At 41.3% G+C, this 21,288-nt stretch overlaps 1 protein-coding gene across 8 annotated transcripts in view; it reads left to right on the top strand.

Moving 5' to 3' along the window:
• GINS1 (GINS complex subunit 1) overlaps positions 1-21,288 on the top strand; it is a 40,891-nt gene that overhangs the window by 1,193 nt on the left and 18,410 nt on the right. The window contains exons 2-7 of one of the 8 annotated variants that reach the window (XM_047440625.1): positions 4,925-4,989; positions 8,239-8,337; positions 9,240-9,330; positions 10,819-10,940; positions 11,981-12,123; positions 16,346-16,426. In XM_047440625.1, coding sequence (XP_047296581.1) covers positions 4,925-4,989; positions 8,239-8,337; positions 9,240-9,330; positions 10,819-10,940; positions 11,981-12,107 — 504 coding nt within the window. In that variant the 3' untranslated portion in view covers positions 12,108-12,123; positions 16,346-16,426. Of the gene's footprint in view, positions 1-2,251; positions 2,422-4,924; positions 4,990-8,238; positions 8,338-9,239; positions 9,331-10,818; positions 10,941-11,980; positions 12,124-16,345; positions 16,463-21,288 lie in introns of those variants that run through there. The other 7 variants (NR_134574.2, XR_007067484.1, XR_244227.5 and 4 more) reach the window with 7 other exon arrangements.

Genomic DNA, 21,288 nt, shown 5'->3' on the forward strand with positions numbered 1-21,288 from the left:
TTACGTCATAGAGCAGGCATTATGTGGATGTCAGGACACATTCTGCTGGAAGATGGGCACAAAAACAGATAATAGAATTCACCACGCTAAGTGATACTAAGGAGGTATAGCAAGGAGCACGAAGGAGAAACACCAGTATGAGCTGGGGTAGAAGAGGTGATATATGAGCCTTTCCATCCTCAAGGATGAGGTTACTGATCTGAGAAGGAAGCGAGGCATCCCAGCCAAAGGATGCTGCAGCACAAAGTCACGTGGTCACACTGGAGAGGGTGACCAATAGGGCCTGTGGGGAGTCTAGGAAGGTGGCTCACAGCCTACATGAATTTGTTGTTCACTTATAAGGCATGCTGGGAGCTGGTAGAGGATTTTAGACAAGGAAGTGATAGGGTAATTTTTGTGTTTTGAAGGTAACTGCGGCAGCAATATGGGGAATGGATTGAAGAGAGGAAAGAATGGGACAGGGAGATGGCTACTGGGTGGCTGATAGAGCAGGTGAGAGGTGTGTGGTCTGAACTGTGTCAGGTCAGTGGCACTGAGATCAGTGTTTGGGTTTTAGAGACATGAAGCAAACATGACTTGTAGCTATTAGAGCAGGGGCAGAGATGGGGTCCATAATGAATAAGAGGGAGGAATTGGGATCTTGGAGGATCCTTAGGAAACTGGGTAAACAACATCAGAGTTCAGGAGATAGAGTGTGTTGGGAAAGGTAATGAGTTTTGTTTTGAACACTAAAGAGCACCTAGCCAGACAATTAGATTGTCTTACAAATGAAGAAACTGAGCTGACACAAATTATGGGTCAAGTTAAGGAACTCGTCTGAATTTACAGCATATTGGAGGTAGAGCTTCAACTTGAACACAGGTTTTCCAGTTTCTAGTCAATTGTTTTTTCAACTTCAGAGCAGTTACCTCATTTAAAAAGTTAGGCAGCAGTCTGCAGCTCAGTAGAGATGCTTGAATGCAGAAGTGTGTAAATGCTAAAATGTGGCCTGAGAACTAGGAACTTTAGAGGTCATTGTACATATCAGGACACAGGCCTAGAGAACAGAGAGACTGTGCAAACAGGTGCGGCCAAGCTGGATTTTGGACCTGACTCTGACACTTAGTTTAGCTCTCTGTTTTACTCAAATTTTAAGTTAAGTGTTGGGTTATCACTTTGTGGGGCTAGGGGCTGGTCTTAGAAGTTGTAGAATCAGGCCAGGAGTGGTGGCTCACGCCTGTAATCCCCCCACTTTGGGAGGCTGAGGCGGGCGGATTACAGGGTCCTGAGATTGAGACCATCCTGGCTAACATGGTGAAACCCCGTATCTACTAAAAATACAAAAAATTAGCCAGGCGTGGTGGGATGTGCCTGTAGTCCCAGCTACTCGGAAGGCTGAGGCAGGAGAATGGCTTGAATCTGGGAGGCGGAGGTTGCAGTGAGCCAAGATCGGGTCACTGCACTACAGCCTGGGCGACAGAGAGAGACTCCGCCTCAAAAAAAAAAAAAAGTTGTAGAATCACTGTCTTGTAGGTCTTAATTTGGTGGAGCACCTTTTGTCTCACTAGTGCCTTCCACTGACAAACCCACCTGATACTCAAGGTGATCCAGCAGCCTGGAACACTTAGTCAGCCTGCAGAGGCTGGCCTCCGACTCAGCGGCACAGAGGAAGGCTGACAGTGGATCTGAGAGGCCCAAGGACCACACAGGCTTTTCTCTTTTTTTTATTGTTTTGAGATGGGAGTTTCGCTCCTGTGGCCCAGGCTGGAGTGCAATGGTGTGATCTCGGCTCACTGCAACCTCCGCCTTCTGGGTTAAGCAATTCTCCTGCCTCAGCTTCCCTAGTAGCTGGGATTACAGGCGCCTGCCACCATGCCCAGATAATTTTATGTATTTTTAGTAGAGATGGGGTTTCACTATTTTGGCCGGGCTGGTCTCGAACTCCTGACCTCAGGCGATCCACCCACCTCAGCCTCCCAAAGTGCTGGGATTATAGGCGTGAGCCACCGTGCCCGGCCCAACACACAGGCTTTTCTTCTGGAATCACTCATGGTTAAGCGCTGTGTTCAGCAAACAGAAAAGTGATTACACCCTTTCTATATGCAGAATTGATACTTTTTTTAAAAAGTACATTTTTAAGAAAGTTAGGCCAAGCATGGTGGCTCATGCCTGTAATCCCAGCCACCACTTTGGGAGGTCAAGGTGGAAGGAACACTTGAGCCCAGGAGTTCGAGACTAGCCTGGGCAACATAGTGAGACCCCATTTTTACAAAAAATAGAATTAGCTGGGTGTGGTGGCACACACCTGTAGTCCCAGCAACTTAGGAGGCTGAAGTGAGAGGATTGCATGGCTCCAGGAAGTTGAAACTGCAGTGAACTGTGGTCACGCTATTACACTCCAGCCTGGGTGACAGACTGAATCCCTGTCTCAAAAAGGAAAAGGTAAGAAAATTACCTTGGGCTCAGGTAGAAGTCATGCTTGCATTTTCCATCAGGAATTACATCTTTTGAGCAGAGTTGAGTAGTTGATTTTGGAATTGTGCCATTTGTATATGCCACAGCATTTTTGCCAACACATATATTTTGGCCCTAAAAATAGACAGTGAAAAAGAGATGGGATTGCTTCTCTTTCGATTGTTGGCAGACCTATTGGGTAACATTTAATCATTTTGGGCTGGACACGGTGGCTCCTGCCTGTACTCGCAGCACTTTGGGAGACCATGGCAGGCGGATCACTTGAGGTCAGGAGTTTGAGAGCAGTGTGGCCAACATGGCGAAACCCTGTCTCTACCAAAAAAAAAAAGATTACAAAAATTAGCCAGACTTGGTGGCTTACACCTGTAATCCTAGCACTTTGGGAGGCTGAGGTGGGTGGATTGCCTGAGGTCAGGAGTTCGAGACCAACCTGGTGAACATGGTGAAACCCTGTCTCTACTAAAAATACAAAAATTAGCTGGACGTGATGGGCACCTGTAATCCCAGCTACTTGAGAGGCTAAGGCAGGAGAATCATTGCTTGGACCCGGGAGACGGAGGTTGCAGTGAGCCAAGATTGCACCATTGTACTCCAGCCTGGGTGACAAGAACAAAACTCCGTCTCAAAAAAAAAAAAAATTAGCTGGGCATTGCTGGTGCACACCTGTAGTCCCAGCTACTCGAGAGGCTGAGGCAAGAGAATCACTTAAACCTGGGAGGCAGAGGTTGCAGTGAGCTGAGATCGCACTACTGCACTCCAACCTGGGCCACAGAGTGAGACTTCATCTCAACAACAACGAAAAAAATCAGAATTCTAATGTTTTATTTTTCCAAGGGAAAATTTGCCCGAAACTGGATACTAGAAAAACTCCTATGGCCGGTTTTTGCAGTGCAAACCAAAAACACTATTCCTTTTTCTTTCTTTTGGTATTAACCTTTTAAGATCACTTTTAAGCTGGGCCCAGTGGCTCATCCCTGTAATCCCAGCACTTTGGGAGGCTGAGGCGGGTGGATCACCCGAGGTCAGGAGTTCAAGACCAGCCTGGCCAATATAGTGAAACCCCGTCTCTACTAAAAATACAAAAAATTAGCCAGGCGTGGTGGTGGGCGCCTGTAATCCCAGCTACTCGGGAGGCTGAGACAGGAGAATTGCTTGAACCCAGGAGGCAGAGGTTGCAGTGAGCCGAGATTGCACCATTGCACTCCAGCCCAGGCGACAGTGTGAGACTCCATCTAAAAAAAAAGACCATTTTTTAGTAAATTATGAATTATTTACATATTTTTCTTTATACCTCATGCTTCAGTAGGACGATTGATATCTTTGTTCGTCAATTTTATTGATGTATAATTTACATACAACATGTGTATTTTAATAGATTTTTGAATTTTGACTAATATGTACATCTTTATAACCAGCACCCTGATCAAGATTTCTGTAATTATCAAAATATCTCATATAACCCATAAATATACATACCTACTGTGTACCCACAAAAATAAAAAAATTAAAAAAGATTTCTGTAACTTTGCCCCCCTTTTGTAGCTACCTCCCACCTATAGCCTTAGGCAACCATGAATTTGCTTTCTCTGACTACAGATGATATTATTCTTTTTGGCAAACTTTTCCTGTGAAGGGCCAGAGGGAATCATTTCATGTAAACTCTTGTGTCAGGCATCTCTTGCTCAGTATAACGTATTTCAGATTATCCTCATTGTTGTGTATGTTGTCAGTAGTTCATTTTTTTTTTTTTTTTCTTTGAGACGAAGTTTCGCTCTTGTTGCTCAGGCTGGAGTGCAATGGCATGATCTTGGCTCATTGCAACCCGGGTTCAAGCGATTTCCCCTGCCTCAGCCTCCTGAATAGCTGGGATTACAGCCTGTCACCACGCCTGGCTAATTTTTGTATATTTAGGAGAGACGGGGTTTCACCATGTTGACCAGGCTGGTTTTGAACTTCTGACCTCAGGTGATCCACCCGCCTCAGCCTTCCAAAGCGCTGGGATTACAGGCATGAGCCACCACCCTTGACCCATTCTTTTTATTATATTAGATTTTTCAGATAAGTGGAAGGTTTATCCATCTATCATTTGATGGACGTTTGGGTTGTTTCTACATTTTTATTGTTATGAATAATGCTGCAAAAAACATGTGTTTTCTGTTTTCTTGAGTATATATATACACCTAGGAGTAAAATTACTGAGTCATATGGTAATTCTGTGTGTAGCTTTTGAGGAACTGTCAAGTTTTTGCCCACAGGGCTATACCGTTTTACATTCCCACCAGCAATGTACGAGGGTTCCAGTTTCTCCGCATCTCACCAACACTTGTTATAACCATGCTAGTGGGGTGTGAAAGGACTATTGCTTTTTGCTAAAGTATATAAATGAAAGATACAGTTCAGTATTGATAGCATATTGCCACAGAATTGGTGGGGAAATCAGTGGATTTCAATATCGGTTTATATGTTCTAGGAGGATGGACTCAGACAAGTTCTGGAGGAGATGAAAGCTTTGTATGAACAAAACCAGTCTGATGTGTAAGTTTCATAAGATGATATTCTAAAACAATTCAATAATTAAGATGTTGAAATTGGCCGGGCGCGGTGGCTCACGCCTGTAATCCCAGCACTTTGGGAGGCTGAGGCGGGCGGATTACGAGGTCAGGAGTTTGAGATCAGCTTGGCCAACATGGTGAAACCTTGTCTCTACTAAAAATACAAAAATTAACCGGGTGTGGTAGTGGGTGCCTGTAATCCCAGCTACTCAGGAGGCTGAGGCAGGAGAACTGTTTGTACCCGGGAGGTGGAGGTTGCAGTGAGCTGAGATTGCACCACTTCACTCCAGCCTGGCGATAGGGCAAGACTCTGTCTCCAAAAAAAAAAAAAAAAAAAAAAAGATGTTGAAATCAGATAACCTTGCATTAGTTTTGGGATGCGATTTTTAAAAATTATCTGTAAAATTATCTGCTCTAGCTGTACAAATTAGCAAAAGTCTGAAGAAATTTGTGCTGATCACTGCTTAATAAATATCTGTTGTTTGGCTGATAAGAGTTGAAAGGAATTAGAGTGGACCTAAAATAAATGACATACCCTAAAATAAAAAATAAAAATAGGCTGGACACGGTGGCTCATGGCTATAAATCCCTGTGCTTTGGGAGGCCAAGGCAAAAGGATCAGTTGAGGCCAGGAGCCTGGACATATAGCAGGACTCTGTCTCTATTAAAAAAATAAAAATTAGCTGGGTGTGGTGGCACACACCTGGAGTCTTAGCTACTCAGCAGGGTAAGGTGAGAGGCTTGCTTGAGTGCAGGGGTTTGAGGCTGCAGTGAGCTATGATCACGTTACTGCACCCTAGCCTGGGTGACAGAAGGAGATCTCCATCTTTAAAAATAATAAATAAAAATAAAAACCTAACAAAGTGAAATACATGGTTCCCACTGTTTATATTTTTATCAACAGTTGCCTTAGTGAGTTTGTTAAAGGAAGAATAGGCAGTTTATTAAATGGATATAAATAGGAGCAGCAGTGATTTCTGATAGTTTGAGTGGAGTTCTCTGAGAACTAGCTATAAAAGGTTTCAGTGTAGTAGGTCCAGAGAGGTGACTAGATTTATTGACTCTTTAGAACTGAGCATGGTAGCTGGCACAGTGGAGAATTTGGGCGTATGACAAACTTCGTATGTTCCTGTGCGACACCAAAGGGAGTCAAGTACTGGATCAAAGTTGAAGTATTCAGGGTCTCAACTGTCTGTGACATGAGGTTTCCTCTTTGGGCTTGTTCGCTACAGTGTTTTTATCAGTTACTTGAATATAGAAATCAGTGTTATGGCTGGTAAGATTTGTGAGGCACATAAAATGATAGGAGCATTTCCAACTCCTGTGTATAAGGAGAGATACAGAAAAATCTTTACAGGTGGACTGAGGAAGTGAACCTCAACAGATTTGCAGTAAATATAAGGCAGATTTAAAGTCCTGAACTCAAGTCCCTAAGCCATTCATTGATTTACTCAAATATGTACTAAACAAATATGTATCAATAAGTGGCTGTGCTATTTCAGTGGTAAACAACAGTCAAGATGGCTTTCCCGGGCTGGGCACAGTGTGGCCCATGCCTGTAGTCCCAGCACTTTGGGAGGCCGAGGCGGGTGGATCATCTGAGGTCAGGAGCTCGAGACCAGCCTGACCAACATGGTGAAACCCTGTCTACGAAAAATACAAAATTAGCCATGCGTGGTGGCGCATGCCTGTAATCCCAGCTACTCCGGAGGTTGAGGCAGGAGAATCGCTTGAACCTGGGAGGCGGAGGTTGTGGTGAGTCGAGATCGCGTCATTGCACTCCAGCTTGGGCAACAATAGCGAAACTCCATCTCAAAAAAAAAAAAAAAAAAAAGATGCCTGTCCCTGGCGCTCACTGTCTAGTGCAGAAGACAGACATGAAATATAGATATGCCAAATTGGGATTCATGCTATGAAGGAAATCAGAAGAGTGCAAGGAGAAAGAAAAATGAATAGAAGGTCTAGCTTAAATTGAGGAATCAGGGAACTTCTCTCCAAAGAGGAGACATTTCAGCTGAGGCCTGCAGGAGATGCAAGTCTTAGGGAGGCAGTGACTGTGGGCATAGAACATTCTAGGTGGAGGGAACAGCATATGCAAAAGCCCCTGAATCATGGAAGAGAATGGGGCACTCAAGAAACTGACACTTAAAGAAGACCTATGTGGCTGGAGTTTGGCAAGTGGCAAAGGATGACACCAGATGAGGTGTAAGTGTGGACAGGTGGTGGTGTGTTTGTGTCTTAAAAGATAATGCTGGTTGCTGTGTGGAGGGGCTGAGAGGTGGGGGAAGCTGGTCACCAGGTTACTAGAGAGGTGACCCAGACTTGGTAGAAAGTGAGAAGGTTATAAATGTTTTGGAGGAGACCCTATAGGCCTTGGTTCAGTAAGGGAATGATTTTCTTGTATTCTCTGTGTTTATGCCATTCGCAAATTCATGATCCAAAATTCTTTATTCCACCTTCCTAGTTTCATCAGACTTTCATAGGGTGGCAGAAGTATATAGAACAGCCCTAGAAGACATGACAGGATGGGACATGTATTTTGCCTGTATTATCAGGGCCTAGCACAGTGCCTGGCATAGAGGCAGGCACTACATGAATGAATTCTTTTTATATGCATATGGTTGCTTAAAAACTCCAAAGTAGATTCTTATTCATTCAAAAGTTACATGTACTTTTTATAGGGTAAAACCAAAATTTTCAGTGTGAGAAATACTGAAGTATAGTACGTACACGTATTTGGAGATCAACAGATATTTGTAAGATGAGTGAAAGACCATTTTGACTCCATTTTACCTCACTTTGTTATAATGAGGATTTGGAAGCTCCACTGGAAGGGAGGTACTATGTAGAATAGCGACATGACGTAAGACCATAACCTCATGTCCATCATGTTAGCTTTGTCTCTTATCTCAGCGTGATAATGGAATCCTGAAAAGTGAATAACACAGTGTCTTTTAGAAAGAATAGAGATTAATCAGTGTGCAAAAATGCAAAGTACCAAATGCCTAAACAAAATGTATCTGGTAGCATGATCTTAGGCAAGTTGTTTAGGTTTTGGCTTTTTAACATATTAATAAAAGCTCTGATGTACAAATAGTTATTATTTGCTTAGGTTAACTGCTAATCACAAATGGATTAAAAACAAGCATGTAACTCAGTTGTTAGTTGGCTTTGAAAATTTTACTTATCCTGAAAAGTACATATTTTTTTTCTTTTTAAATGCTCCTATCAGGAATGAAGCAAAGTCAGGTGGACGAAGTGATTTGATACCAACTATCAAATTTCGACACTGTTCTCTGTTAAGAAATCGACGCTGCACTGTAGCATACCTGTAAGCTTCTCAGTTTTTGCTTGGGGTGGCAGGATTTTCTGTGTGGCTTCCCAGTTGACCATCTCAAATGGGTAACATGAAATCTTAGATCTCTCTCTCTTTGTAAGCATTCTAAATTTTTCCTCTGTGTTTTCATTTTTTTAATTTTTTATTATGAAAAATCACAACACTTTTAAAAGTAGGGAGAATAATACTATAATGAACCCCAGTGGAGCTATCATATGGTTTTAACAATTTTTATTATTTTGCCATATTTTTTTCATCGTGTTTCACTTGTTGGTGCCACACTATTTAAGTGCATCACGGTCTTTCACTACTGAATACGGTAGTGTTCTTACTATTTTTTCTTTGTCTTAGAAATAAGGACCTTTGGCCAGGCACAGTGGCTCATGCCTATAATCCCAGCAATTTTGGAGGCCAAGGCGGGTGGATCATCTGGGATCAGGAGTTCGAGACCAGCCTGGCCAACATGGTGAAACCCTGTCTCTACTAAAAATACAAAAATTAGCTGGGAGTGGTAGCGGGTGCCTAATCTCAGCTACTTGGGAGGCTGAGGCAGGAGAATTGCTTGAATCTGGGAGCCAGAGGTTGTAGTGAACGGAGATCGTGCCATTGCACTCCAGGCTGGGTGACAAGAGCAAAACTCTGTCTCAAACAAAAAAAGGCGGGGGAAAGAAAGAAATAAGGACCTTAGGGACCTTTTTCCCAGGACTACTGTGCTGCTGTCACACGTGGAGGAGTGGACAGTGCCTTCAGGTCGACTCTCAGACTGTGTTCATGTTCTTCTTGTTTTCCCTAAGATGTCTGTTTAGAGCTGGTGTGTTTGCATCAGGGGCCAAATGAAGTCCACACGTGATCCCCCGTTTATTCTTATGCCACCCAATACCTTCTTGATGTCCTAGGTATGACCGCTTGCTTCGGATCAGAGCACTCAGATGGGAATATGGTAGCGTCTTGCCAAATGCATTACGATTTCACATGGCTGCTGAAGAAGTGAGTTAGCATTGTTCAAGTTTATAAATTTTGAAAATGCTAAAGTTCTGGCATTGTTCTATAATAGTGTTTATTGGTATTCCTCTTTTTGTGTTTAATGTCTGTTTTTCCCCAATTTTTGGCTGGTATTTAGTATATAATGTGAGGGGAACTATGTGGTGAGGAGTAATTCTAAATCATATGTGGAAAATTCTATTATTACTTAACAAAATAGAGTCCCATGATGTTACTTATTAGTGATCCATCAGTGGGATTAAAAAACTGGCATTATTATTTGGTGATATTCCATGAAATGTTTACATGTGTATATATACTTTCCTAATCAAAATTCATATTTGCCTAGTCACTGAGGCAAAGAACTAGCCCATTATTTAAGGACATAGGATTGGAGTCAGGTGGGCTTAGGTTCAAATCTCTGCTGTCTAATATTGAGCAAGTCACTTGACCTGTTGCTGTGCCTAAATTTCCTTGTTACAGGATGAAGATCATATTACCTATCTATTACAGGTTGCAATGACTTTTGACACTAACTACCTGCAGTTATTGTCAACTAAGGAAGCTCACACAAGCTTTGATGTCCAGAGTGTTTATTGGGGCTTCATTACATAGACATGACTGATTAAATTGCTGGCCCTGTGATTGAGTTCAATCTTCATCCCTCTTCCCCTCCCTGGAGGTCAGACTGACATCAGGAGGGCCAAAGGCCCAATACTTTAATCACATGGTTGGTCTTTCTGGGGTAGCCAGTCCCAACTCTGAGTCATCTTGTTAGCACAGACTATGTAGGGGTTCACCACGAGTCACCTGAGTAGCACATACTCTCAGGGCACATCATAAATAACAAGACACTCCTATTACTTGAGAAAGTACAAGAATTTAGAAGCTACCTCCCAGGAATGAGGGAGAGAGGCCCACCAAATTCTTTATTCTACAACAGTGTTATTACAAGGCCTATCACAGGGTTACTTCAGGTGGTCCATGTGGAGCACAGCATAGGATGGCACTCAATAAATGTTAACAGTTACTACATTACAGTTGCATAGCACAGAGCTTAAGAAAGAAAATATTCAGTGCAGCAAACCACCATGGCACATGTATACCTATGTAACAAACCTGCACGTTCAGCACATGTATCCCAGAACTTAAAGAAAAAAAAAAAACAAATATTCAATGTGTTTGCCATTAGATTCTGCACATTTTTGAAAGTGATCTATTTGTTGTCATAGCTTCATTTTCATTCTGTTCATTTTCTGCATAAATAAATGAGTAATCTCTACCTCAGATTTACCAGTGACTACGAAATTGGTAACATGTTAGTACCTCACTTTATGCTCTTTGTGTTCAAATCTACTTATATTAATTGAACTTTGGGGTACTTACTGTGTATTATGGTGAGATGAACAGAACATTATGTTTCTCTAACGACAGTAGCTTTAATGATTTTTCTCATACAATATTTTAGATTAATTTTTTTGTGTATTTTTTGAGATGGAATCTCGCTCTGTTGCCCAGGCTGGAGTACAGTGGTGCATTCTCTGCTCACTGCAACTTCCGCCTCCTGGCTTCAAGCAATTCTCCTGCCTCAGCCTGCCAAGTAGCTGTGATTACAGGTGCGTGCCTCCATGCCTGGCTAATTTTTGTATTTTAGTAGAGACAGGGTTTCACTATGTTGGCTAGGCTGGTCTCGAACTCCTGACCTTGTGATCTGCCCCTCTTGGCCTCCCAAAGTGCTGGGATTCCAGGTGTGAGCCACAGCGCCTGGCGATTAATATGTTTCTTACAATTTAGTAAATGATTACAAGCTGCATTTATTCAAGCACATCAATTAGATTTCATATTGGGCATTGTTTCTGTAAGGGTGGCACTTTTCTGTGATTACTGAGTTCCCAAAGTCAGTTTCTATTTTAATGAAATATAACAATGTTAACAGCAAATAAAATATATATATATTTTTTTGAGATGGAGTCTCGCTCTGTTGCTCCAGCTGGAGTGCAGTGGCACGATCTTGGCTCACTGAAACCTCTGCCTCCCGGGTTCAAGCGATTCTCCTGCCTCAGCATCCCGAGTAACTGGGATTACAGGTGCCCACCACTACACCCAGCTAATTTTTGTATTTTTAGTAGAGACGGGGTTTCACTGTATTGGCCAGGCTGGTCCTGAGCTCCTGACCTGATGATCTGCCCACCTCAGCCTCCCAAAGTGCTGGGATTACAAGTGTGAGCCACAGTGCCTGGCCTTATATAAAATAATATTAATGGGTCTAGAGATTAAGTTGTTTGAGAATAGTGAAACCTGAGATAGTTTCTTGGAAGAGTTTGTGAATTACTGCAAAACTGGCAAATGACTTCCTTCTACCCCAGTGACCTCATCTATAAAAAGGAATATACCAGCCTGGCCAACATGGTGAAACCCTGTTTCTACTAAAAATACAAAGATTAGCTGGGTGTGGTGGTGTGCACCTGTAATCCCAGCTGGTCAGGGAGGCTGAGGGCAGGACAATTGCTTGAGCCTGGGAGGTGGAGGTTGCGATGAGCTGAGATCGCACCACTGCACTCTGGTCTGGGAGAGAGAGTGAGACCCTGTCTCAAAAAAAAAAAAAAAGAAAAAAAGAAAAAGAATAAAAGGAATATACATGGTCTCGTTCTCTTAGTAGTGATGTTTTGGAAACACTGAAGGATGAGAAGAGATTAATACAGATAAACTCTGTAGTAGACCACAGACATCTCTGCTTGAGCAATTGCATCGTGGCAACTGCATCAGCCATTTTGGACCAGTAACAAAGAATATTTCCAGGTATCCCTGACAGCTTATAGGAGCCTATGAGGTCTGAATGTCATCATAGGTATCTGTATTACCCAAGGATAGTGCTTCAATGGGTGACTGAAGCACATGGGCTTGAGTCTGCCACCTAAATTCAGATCCCTGCCTTGTTAACTCTGAGCCCTTTGGTAAATTATCTAATCTCTCAAAGCTTCAGTCCTTCATGAATAAAAAGAAAATAATAATAGTAGTTACATCATGGGGCAATGAAAAAGAGAAAATAATGCATATTAAAATTTTAGCAAATTCCTGGTATATAGTAAGCACTTTATTACTGGGAGTGATGATTTCAATATTGTTGACTCAGGCTAGCAATAAAAGTAAAAGCAGAGCTAAAATAAGGTTACTAACATGAAACAGATGATCATGTGTTAATGTTTAGAGAAAACACCATTGAAAGAATATGAAAGCACACTGATGATAAGTAAAAATCTTATTATCTGATTTCAAAGTAGTAACATCTTTTGTTTTCAAAGTAGTAACATCCTTTATGTTTTTAAAATAATAACATCTTTTGTTTTCAAAGTAGTAACATCTTTTATGTTTTTAAAATAGTAACATCTTTTGTTTTTTGATTTCCTAAGTTTCTGTTTAGAATCTTTAAGCCACTAACATGAGAGATAGTGAAAATAGGTATTTTTTTCTTTCCTATTAATATTTTTCCATAAGGAAAACTAAAAAATTTGTGACTATATCAGTATGTTCTTTTGTGGAAGTAACGTGCTTATTCTACATTTCCCTTTTATCTGTGAATGAGACTGAATGAGGGTAACACCCTCATTGTCAAAACAGCTTCTGATTTTTCTTCCACTTCATCTTCTCTTTGGGGTCTGTTACACTCTTCTCAGTGGAGACAAAGTAGAAAAGACCACAGTGGAAACACCCATGTTTGACTCATTTGGCAAGATCTCTCTCAGAGAACTTTTCTTCATACTTATCAATACAAAATATCATTTTTTATCCTTTATATTATAAAAAACAATGCAGTTTTTACCACCTTGGCATACATACCTTTTAAATCTTTTAAAATCACTTAATTTAACCATTTGCATTGTGAAATCTAACATAAAAACAGGCACATGCAAACACATCTGAAAAGGTGCAGAAAACGAAGATGTACAGCCCAATGATGTGTCACTGAGGAATTCCCATGTATCCATCACCCTGTTCAAGAAAGAACATTGCTCCGGAACCTTTGTGTCCCTCCTCCCAGTGATCACTACCCTCCTGACTTTTGTGCAGACTAATCACTTCCTTATTTTTAAAAATCTTATTGCTCTGGATGCAGTGGCTCACACCCGCAACCCCAGCACTTTGAGAGGCCAAGGTGGATGGATTGCCTGAGCTCACGAGTTTGAGACCAGCCTGAGCAACAGGGTGAAACCCTATCTCTACCAAAAAAAGAAAAAAAAAAACAAAAAAAAACTTAGCTAAGTGTGGTGGCATGCGCCTGTGGTCCCAGCTACTCAGAAGGCTGAGGTGGGAGGATCACTTGAGCTTTGGAGGTAGAGGTTGTAGTAAGCTGAGATTGCGCCACTGCACTCCAGCCTGGGTGACAGTGAGACCCTGTCTTAAAACAGCAACAAAAAAACTTGCCATTTACCACCTAAGCATGCATTTCTAAACACTATAATTTAGTGTTGCCCATTTTTTGAACTTTATATAGATTCATGCAGTATCCTTTAATGATTGATGACTTTCACTAAATGTAATATTTTTGAGATTCTAATCTGTTGATATATTAGCAAGAGCTCATTCCTTGTTTTTTATTTTGTTTAGACGGAGTTTTTTGCTCTTGTTGCCCAGGCTGGAGTGCTGTGGCGTGATCTTGGCTGACCGCAACCCCCGCCTCCCGGGTTCAAGCGATTCTCTTGCCTCAGCCTCCCAGCTATCTGGGATTACAGGCATGCACCACCACGCCTGGCTAATTTTTTGTATTTTTAGCAGAGATGGGTTTCTCCATGTTGGTCAGGCTGGTCTTGAACTCCCGACCTCAGGTGGTCCACCTGCCCCAGCCTCCCAAAGTGCTGGGATTACAGGTGTGAGCCACCACACCTGGCCGAGCTTATTCCTTTTTAATGCTGAATAGTATTTCTGGTTTTTTTTTTGTTTTTTTTGAGAGACAGTTTGACTCTGTCGCACAGGCTGGAGTGCAGTGGCATAGCTCGGCTCACTGCAACCTCCGCCTCCCTGGTTCAAGCAATCCTCCTGCTTCAGCCTCTGGAGTAGCTGGGACTACAGGTGTGTGCCACCATGCCCGGCTAATTTTTGTATTATTAGTGGAGGTGGGGTTTCACCATGTTCACCAGGCTGGTCTTGAACTCCTGGCCTCAAGAGATATGCCCACCTTGGTCTCCCAAAGCTGGGATTACAGGAGTGAGCCACCGTGCCTGGCCTACCCAGAGGTTATTAAGGTTATTAAGATATTTTTCTTTTCTTTTTTTTTTTTTTTTTTTTTTTTTTTTTTTTTTGAGACGGCATCTCACTCTGTCGCCCAGGCTGGAGTGCAGTGGCTCAATCTTGGCTCACTGCAAGCTCCACCTCCCGGGTTCAAGCCATTCTCCTACCTCAGCCTCCCAAGATATTTTTCTTCTCTCTTTTTTTTTTTTTTTTTCCGAGACGGAGTCTCTCTGTTGCCCCCAGGCTGGAGTGCAGTGGCATGATCTCAGCTCACTGCAAGCTCTACCTCCCGGGTTCATGCCATTCTTCTTCCTCAGCCTCCCGAGTAGCTGGGACTACTGGCGCCCGCCACCACGCCTGGCTAATTTTTTTGTATTTTTAGTAGAGACGGGGTTTCACCATGTTAGCCAGGATGGTCTCAATCTCCTGACCTCATGATCCACCCGCCTCGGCCTCTCAAAGTTCTGGGATTACAGGCGTGAGCCACCGTGCCCGGCCTTTTTTCTATGTAATCTTTTAGGAGCTATATTTTACCTTTTACAAAGAGATCTACAGTATTGGGATTAAGTTTTGTGTATACTACAGGAGGCATGCTTCATTTTGAATATAGATATTGAGATGACCCAGCACCATGTATTGAACAGATCTGCCTCTCCCATCACTGTGTGCATGGTGCCACCTTTGTCATACATTGAGTGTCAGTATTCCTGTGGATTCTGAATGGGAGGACTTTTTCTTCTGTTATGCTAGTCTATCTGTTCTTATACCAATTCCACTGTTGTAATTACTGTAACTATATAGTATAGTTGGAGCAAGTTCCCATCTTGTTCTTTTTTGAGAGCATTTCAACTATTAGCCCTTTGCACTTCCATGTAAATTTTAGACTCAGTTTGTCAGGTTCCATTTTAAAGAAAGTTAAGATTTTGATTGAGATTGAATTGAATCTATAGATTGTTGACGTTATTACAATATTGAATCATCCAATCTGTGAATATGGTATTATTTAGGTCTTTCATTGTTTTCAACTTTTTTTTTAAAATAGCAGATTTACTGAGATATGATTCATACACTGTGAAGTTTACCATCTTAAATTGTACAGTGCAGTGGTTTTTAGTATATTCAGAGTTGTTGTGCATCCAATACCACATTCTTATTTGAGAATATTTTCATCACCCTACAAAGAAGCCCTGTCCCCTTTATAGTTACTCTATATTTTCTTCCCTCCTCCCAGCTCCTGGAAATCCCGAATCTACTTTCTGTCTCTATAGATTTACCTATTACAGGTTTTTCATATGAGTAGAATCATGCAATATGTGGCCTTCTGTCTTTCATGTGGTAATGGCAATACGTTTCAGAACTTCATTGTTACTTATGGTTAAATAATGTTCCATCATATGGGCACATATCCATTCATCAGCTGGTGGACATTTGGGTTTTCTTAACAATGTTTTATAGTTTTCAGAAATAGCATCAATGCAGAGTTTGAAGATATAATTCTGAAATGGCGTCTTTTTCATGGTTCTGTTTCTGGTCAAAGATTCCTAAGGTTTATTATTAAGTATGCTGAAATGTAAGCTCTCTGAGAACAGAGATTTTTGTTCACTTTATTGAATGATTCATTGTAAGTACCCAGACCAATGCCTATATCATAGGAGGCAATTAATATTTTAGCATTAATGAATGAATGGTCACAACAGTGATTTGTGTTGGGATGTGTACTGTTTTCGAATGGATGATATTCAGTGTGTGCAAGTTTTCTTAGAATTTTGTCAAATGATCATCTCTATGTTTGCAGATGGAGTGGTTTAATAATTATAAAAGATCTCTTGCTACTTATATGAGGTCACTGGGAGGAGATGAAGGTTTGGACATTACACAGGATATGAAACCACCAAAAAGCCTATATATTGAAGTATGTATATCTTTTTAAAATGCATTTTTCTTTAATGTGTAAATTGTGCTACCTTTTAAGAAGAGAGGAGTATATGAATATGTGTTAGCTTCTATTAAAATAGAAAAGAAGCATAGACCAAATCAAACAAGCTACCTGTAGGGGGATGACAGAATACGATGGAACAGCTATAATTTTCTGAATATACCTGTTTTAATAGTTTTGAGTATGGAACCCTATAAATGTTTTAGCTATTACTAAAACAAAGTTAAATCAAAATGGAAAATCAGTCCCTAAATTTTGAAAGTAAAATGAAACAAATGTCAAAACAAAGTTAAATCAAAATGGAAAATCAGTCCCTAAATTTTGAAAGTAAAATGAAACAAATGTCAAAACAAAGTTAAATCAAAATGGAAAATCAATGCTAAATTTTGAAAGTAAAAAAAGCAAATGTCTTTCAAGTTGGTGGATTAGTCAAAACAAGAGGTATTTTTGTTTCATTTTGTTTATTTTTTCTATTTTTTAAATAATAAAATACATATAAAATCTACCATCTTAGCTATTTTTAAATGTACATTTAAGTGGTATTAAATATTGTTTAACATTCCATATTGTTTTGCAACTTTCATATTGTTTTGCAGCTGTCACCACCATTCCATATCCAGATTTTTTTCATCTTATAAAACTGAAACTCTACCCATTAAACAATAACTTCTCAATACCCCTGCCTCCCATCCCCCAGCAACCACCATTCTACTGTCTGTCTCTGATTTTGACTACTGTAACTACCTCATGTGAGTGGAATCATATAGTATTTGTCTTTTTGTTTTCTTTTGTTCTCGTTAGAGAATAATTTCTGAGAAGCTACAAATGACAAGTTATTTGTCTTTTTGTGACTGGCTTATTTCACTTAGCGTAATATCTTCAGGGTTCATTTCTGTGGTATCTGTGGTAAGAATTTGTGTCAGAATTTCCGGCTGGGCACGGTGGCTCATGCTTGTAATCCTAGCGCTTTGGGAGGCTGAGGAAGGAGGATCACCTGAGGTCGGGAGTTCAAGACTAGCCTGACCAACATGGAGAAACCCCGTCTCTACTAAAAATACAAAATTAGCCGGGCACATGCCTGTAATCCCAGCTACTTGGGAGGCTGAGGCAGGATAATCGCTAGAACCGGGGAGAAGGAGGTTGCGGTGAGCTGAGATTGCACCATTGCACAATTTTTTTTTTCTTTTTTTTGAGATGGAGTTTCACTCTTGTTGCCCAGGCTGGAGTCTAGTGGTGCGATCTTGGCTCACCGCAACCTCCGCCTCCTGGGTTCAAGTGATTCTCTGGCCTCAGCCTCCCAAACAGCTGGGATTACAGGCATGTGCCACCACCCCTGGCTAATTTTGTATCTTTAGTAGAGACTGGGTTTCTCCATGTTGGTCAGGCTGGTCTCGAACTCCCGAGCTCAGGTGATCCTCCCTCCTCGGCCTCCCAAAGTGCTGCGATTACAGGTGTGAGCCACTGCGCCTGGCCCAGAATTTCCTTCCTTTTTAAGGATGAGTAATATTCCTTTTTCTGGCTATACCACATTTTGCTTATCCATTTATCCATCTATGGACACTGGGTTGCTTCTTTATTTTAGCTATCATTTTATGATCAATGCTGCTATGAACGTGGATATATAAATCTCTTTGAGACTCTGCTTTTAATTTTGGGGGGCATATATCCAGAGTGGAATTACTAGATCATATGGTAATACTATGTTTGAGGAATTGTCATACTGCTTTCCACAGCAGCCATACCATTTTACATTCCAACATTACGCAAGGGTTCCATTTTCTCCACATCCTCACCAACACTAAATATTTTGGGGTTATTTTGTTTCGTTTTTGAGACAGAGTTTTGCTCTTGTCACCCAGGCTGGATGCAGTGGCGCGATCTCGGCTCAACCTGCAACCTCCACCTCCCAGGTTCACCTCAACTGCAACCTCCACCTCCCAGGTTCAAGTGATTCTCCTGCCTCAGCCTCCCAAGTAGCTGGGATTACAGGTGCCCACCACCACACCTGGCTAATTTTTGTATTTTTAGTAGAGACACGGTTTCACCATTTTGGCCAGGCTGGTCTTGAACTCCTGACCTCAGGTGATCCTCCCGCCTCAGCCTCCCAAAGGCATGAGTCACCATGCCTGGCCTTGTTCTGTTTTTTAATCATAGCCATCCTAAAGGATGTAAAACGTGGTTTTGACTTTTATTTCCCTAATGATTAGTGATGTTGAGCATCTTTTCATATGCTTATTAGCTATTCCTGTGTCTTCTTTGGAGAAATGTTTATTCAAATAATTGGCCCCCTTTATGGGGCCCATTTTCAAATAGGGTTTTGTTGTTGTGGAGATTTAGAAATCCTTTATGTATTCAGTATGTTAATTTGTTATCAGATATATGATTTGCAAATATTTTCTCCCATTCTCTGGGTTGCCTTTTTATGCTGTTGATAGTGTCTTTTTTTTTCTTTTTTTTCTGTTTTCTTCCTTCAGTATCATGTTGATATTTTAAAATTTTCATGCAGCCCAGTTCGTCATTTTTTTTTTTTTTTTTTTGAGATGGAATTTTGCTCTTGTTGCCCAGGCTAGAATGCAGTGGTGTGATCTCGGCTCACTGCAACCCCTGCTTCCTGGGTTCAAGCGATTCTCCTGCCTCAGCCTCCTGAGTAGCTGGGATTACAGGCATGCACCACCACACCCAGCTAATTTTTTGTATTGTTAGCAGAGATAGGGTTTCATCATGTTGGCCAGGCTGGTCTTGAAATCCTGACTTCAGGTGATCCACCCACCTTGGCCTCCCAAAGTGCAGGGATTACAGGCGTGAGCCATCGCACCCGGCCAATTTTTTTTGTTTTGTTGGTTGTGCCTTAGGAGTCATATCCCAGAAATCATTGCTAAATACAATGTCATAAAACTTTTGACCTGTATTTCCTTCTAAGTATTATGTTGTTTTACATTTGCATTTCGGTCTTTGATCCATTTCAAGTTAATTTTTGTATGGTGTTAGGTGATGGTCCAACTTTATTTTTTTGCATGTGGAAATCTAGCTTTCCAAGCATAATTTCTTTTTTTTTTTTTTTTTTTTTTTTGAGACAGAGTCTCTGTCTGTCGCCCAGGCTGGAGTGCAGTGGCACAATCTCGGCTCACTGCAAGCTCTGCCTCCTGGGTTCACGCCATTCTCCTGCCTCAGCCTCCCGAGTAGCTGGGACCACAGGTGCCCACCACGACGCCCAGCTAATTTTTTGTATTTTTTAGTAGAGACGGGGTTTCACCGTGTTAGCCAGGATGGTCTGGATCTCCTAACCTTGTGATCCGCCCACCTCGGCCTCCCAAAGTGCTGGGATTACAGGTGTGAGCCACCGCACCCGGCCTCCAAGCATAATTTCTTAATAAGACTGCCCTTTCCCCATTGTGAATGGTTTTGACACTCTTGTCAAAAATCATTTGACTATGTAGGCAAGGGTTTATTTTTTATCTCTTTATCCTATTCCATTGTTCTGTACATCTGTCGTAAAAAAAGTTTTTTTAATATATATATACATCTGTCTTTATGCCAGAACTGTAGTATTTCGATTGTTGTAGCTTTGCAGTAAGTTTAAATTAGGGATTTTGGGTCCTCCACCTTCATTCCTCTCTCTTTTTTTTTTTTTTTTTTTTTTTTTTTTTTTTTTTTTGAAACGAAGTCTTGCTCTGTCGCCCAGGCTGGAGTACAGTGGTGCACTCTTGGCTCACTGCAACCTCCACCTCCTGGGTTCAAGTGATTCTCCTTTCTCAGCCTCCCAAGTAGCTGAGACTAAAGGCGCCTACCACCATGCCCGGCTAATTTTTTATAGTTTTAGTAGAGATGGGGTTTCACCATGTTGGCTAGGCTGGTCTCGAACTCCTGACCTCAGGTGATCCGCCCACCTCAGCCTCCCAGAGTGCCGGATTACAGGCATGAGCCACCACGCCCGGCCCCATTCCTCTTTTTAAAGGTTGTTTTCACTATTTGAGATTTTATATGGATTGTGGGATGGGTTTTTCTGTTTCTCCAAAAGACACTTTTGGGATTATAGTAGGGATTGTGTAGGTCACTTAGGGTGCATTGACATCTTAATATTAAATCTTCCAATCCATGAACATGGGATGTGTTTCCAATTGTTGATGTCATCTTTAATTTTCTTCAGCAGTGTTTTTTAGTTTTCATTGTTCAAATCTTTCTCCTCTTTCGTTAATTTAATTTCTATATATTTTATTCTTTTCGCACTGATAAACTGAATTATTTTCATAATTTTTATTTTCAGATTGTTCGTTGTTAGTGTATAGAAATGCAACTGATTTTTGTGTGTTGACTTTGCATCCTGTTACTGTGCTGAATTCATTTATTAGTTCTAAAAGTTTTTTGTGGAATCATTAAAATTTTCTACATGTAAGATCATATCATCTGCAAACAGATAATTTTAGTTTTTCCTTTTTAATTTAGAATCCTATTTCTTTTTCTTGTCTAATTACTCTGACTGTAACTCCAGTTTTATGTTGAATAGAAGTGGCAAAAGCAGAAATCTTTTGCCTTCTTAGTGAACTTAGAGGAAAAGCTTTCAGTCTTTCTTTTTCTTTTTGAGACAGAGTCTTGCTCTGTTGCCCAGGTTGGAGTGCAGTGGCACAATCTCAGCTCACTTCAACGTCCGCCTCCTAGGTTCAAGCGATTCTCCTGCCACAGCCTCCTAAGTAGCTAGGACTACAGGCACATGCCATCACGCCCAGCTAATTTTTGTATTTTTATTAGAGACAGGGTTTTACCATAGAGGCCAGGCTGGTTTTGAACTCCTGACCTCATCATCC

Source organism: Homo sapiens, chromosome 20 (genome assembly GCF_000001405.40).
Source record: "Homo sapiens chromosome 20, GRCh38.p14 Primary Assembly".
Lineage (NCBI taxonomy): Eukaryota > Metazoa > Chordata > Mammalia > Primates > Hominidae > Homo > Homo sapiens.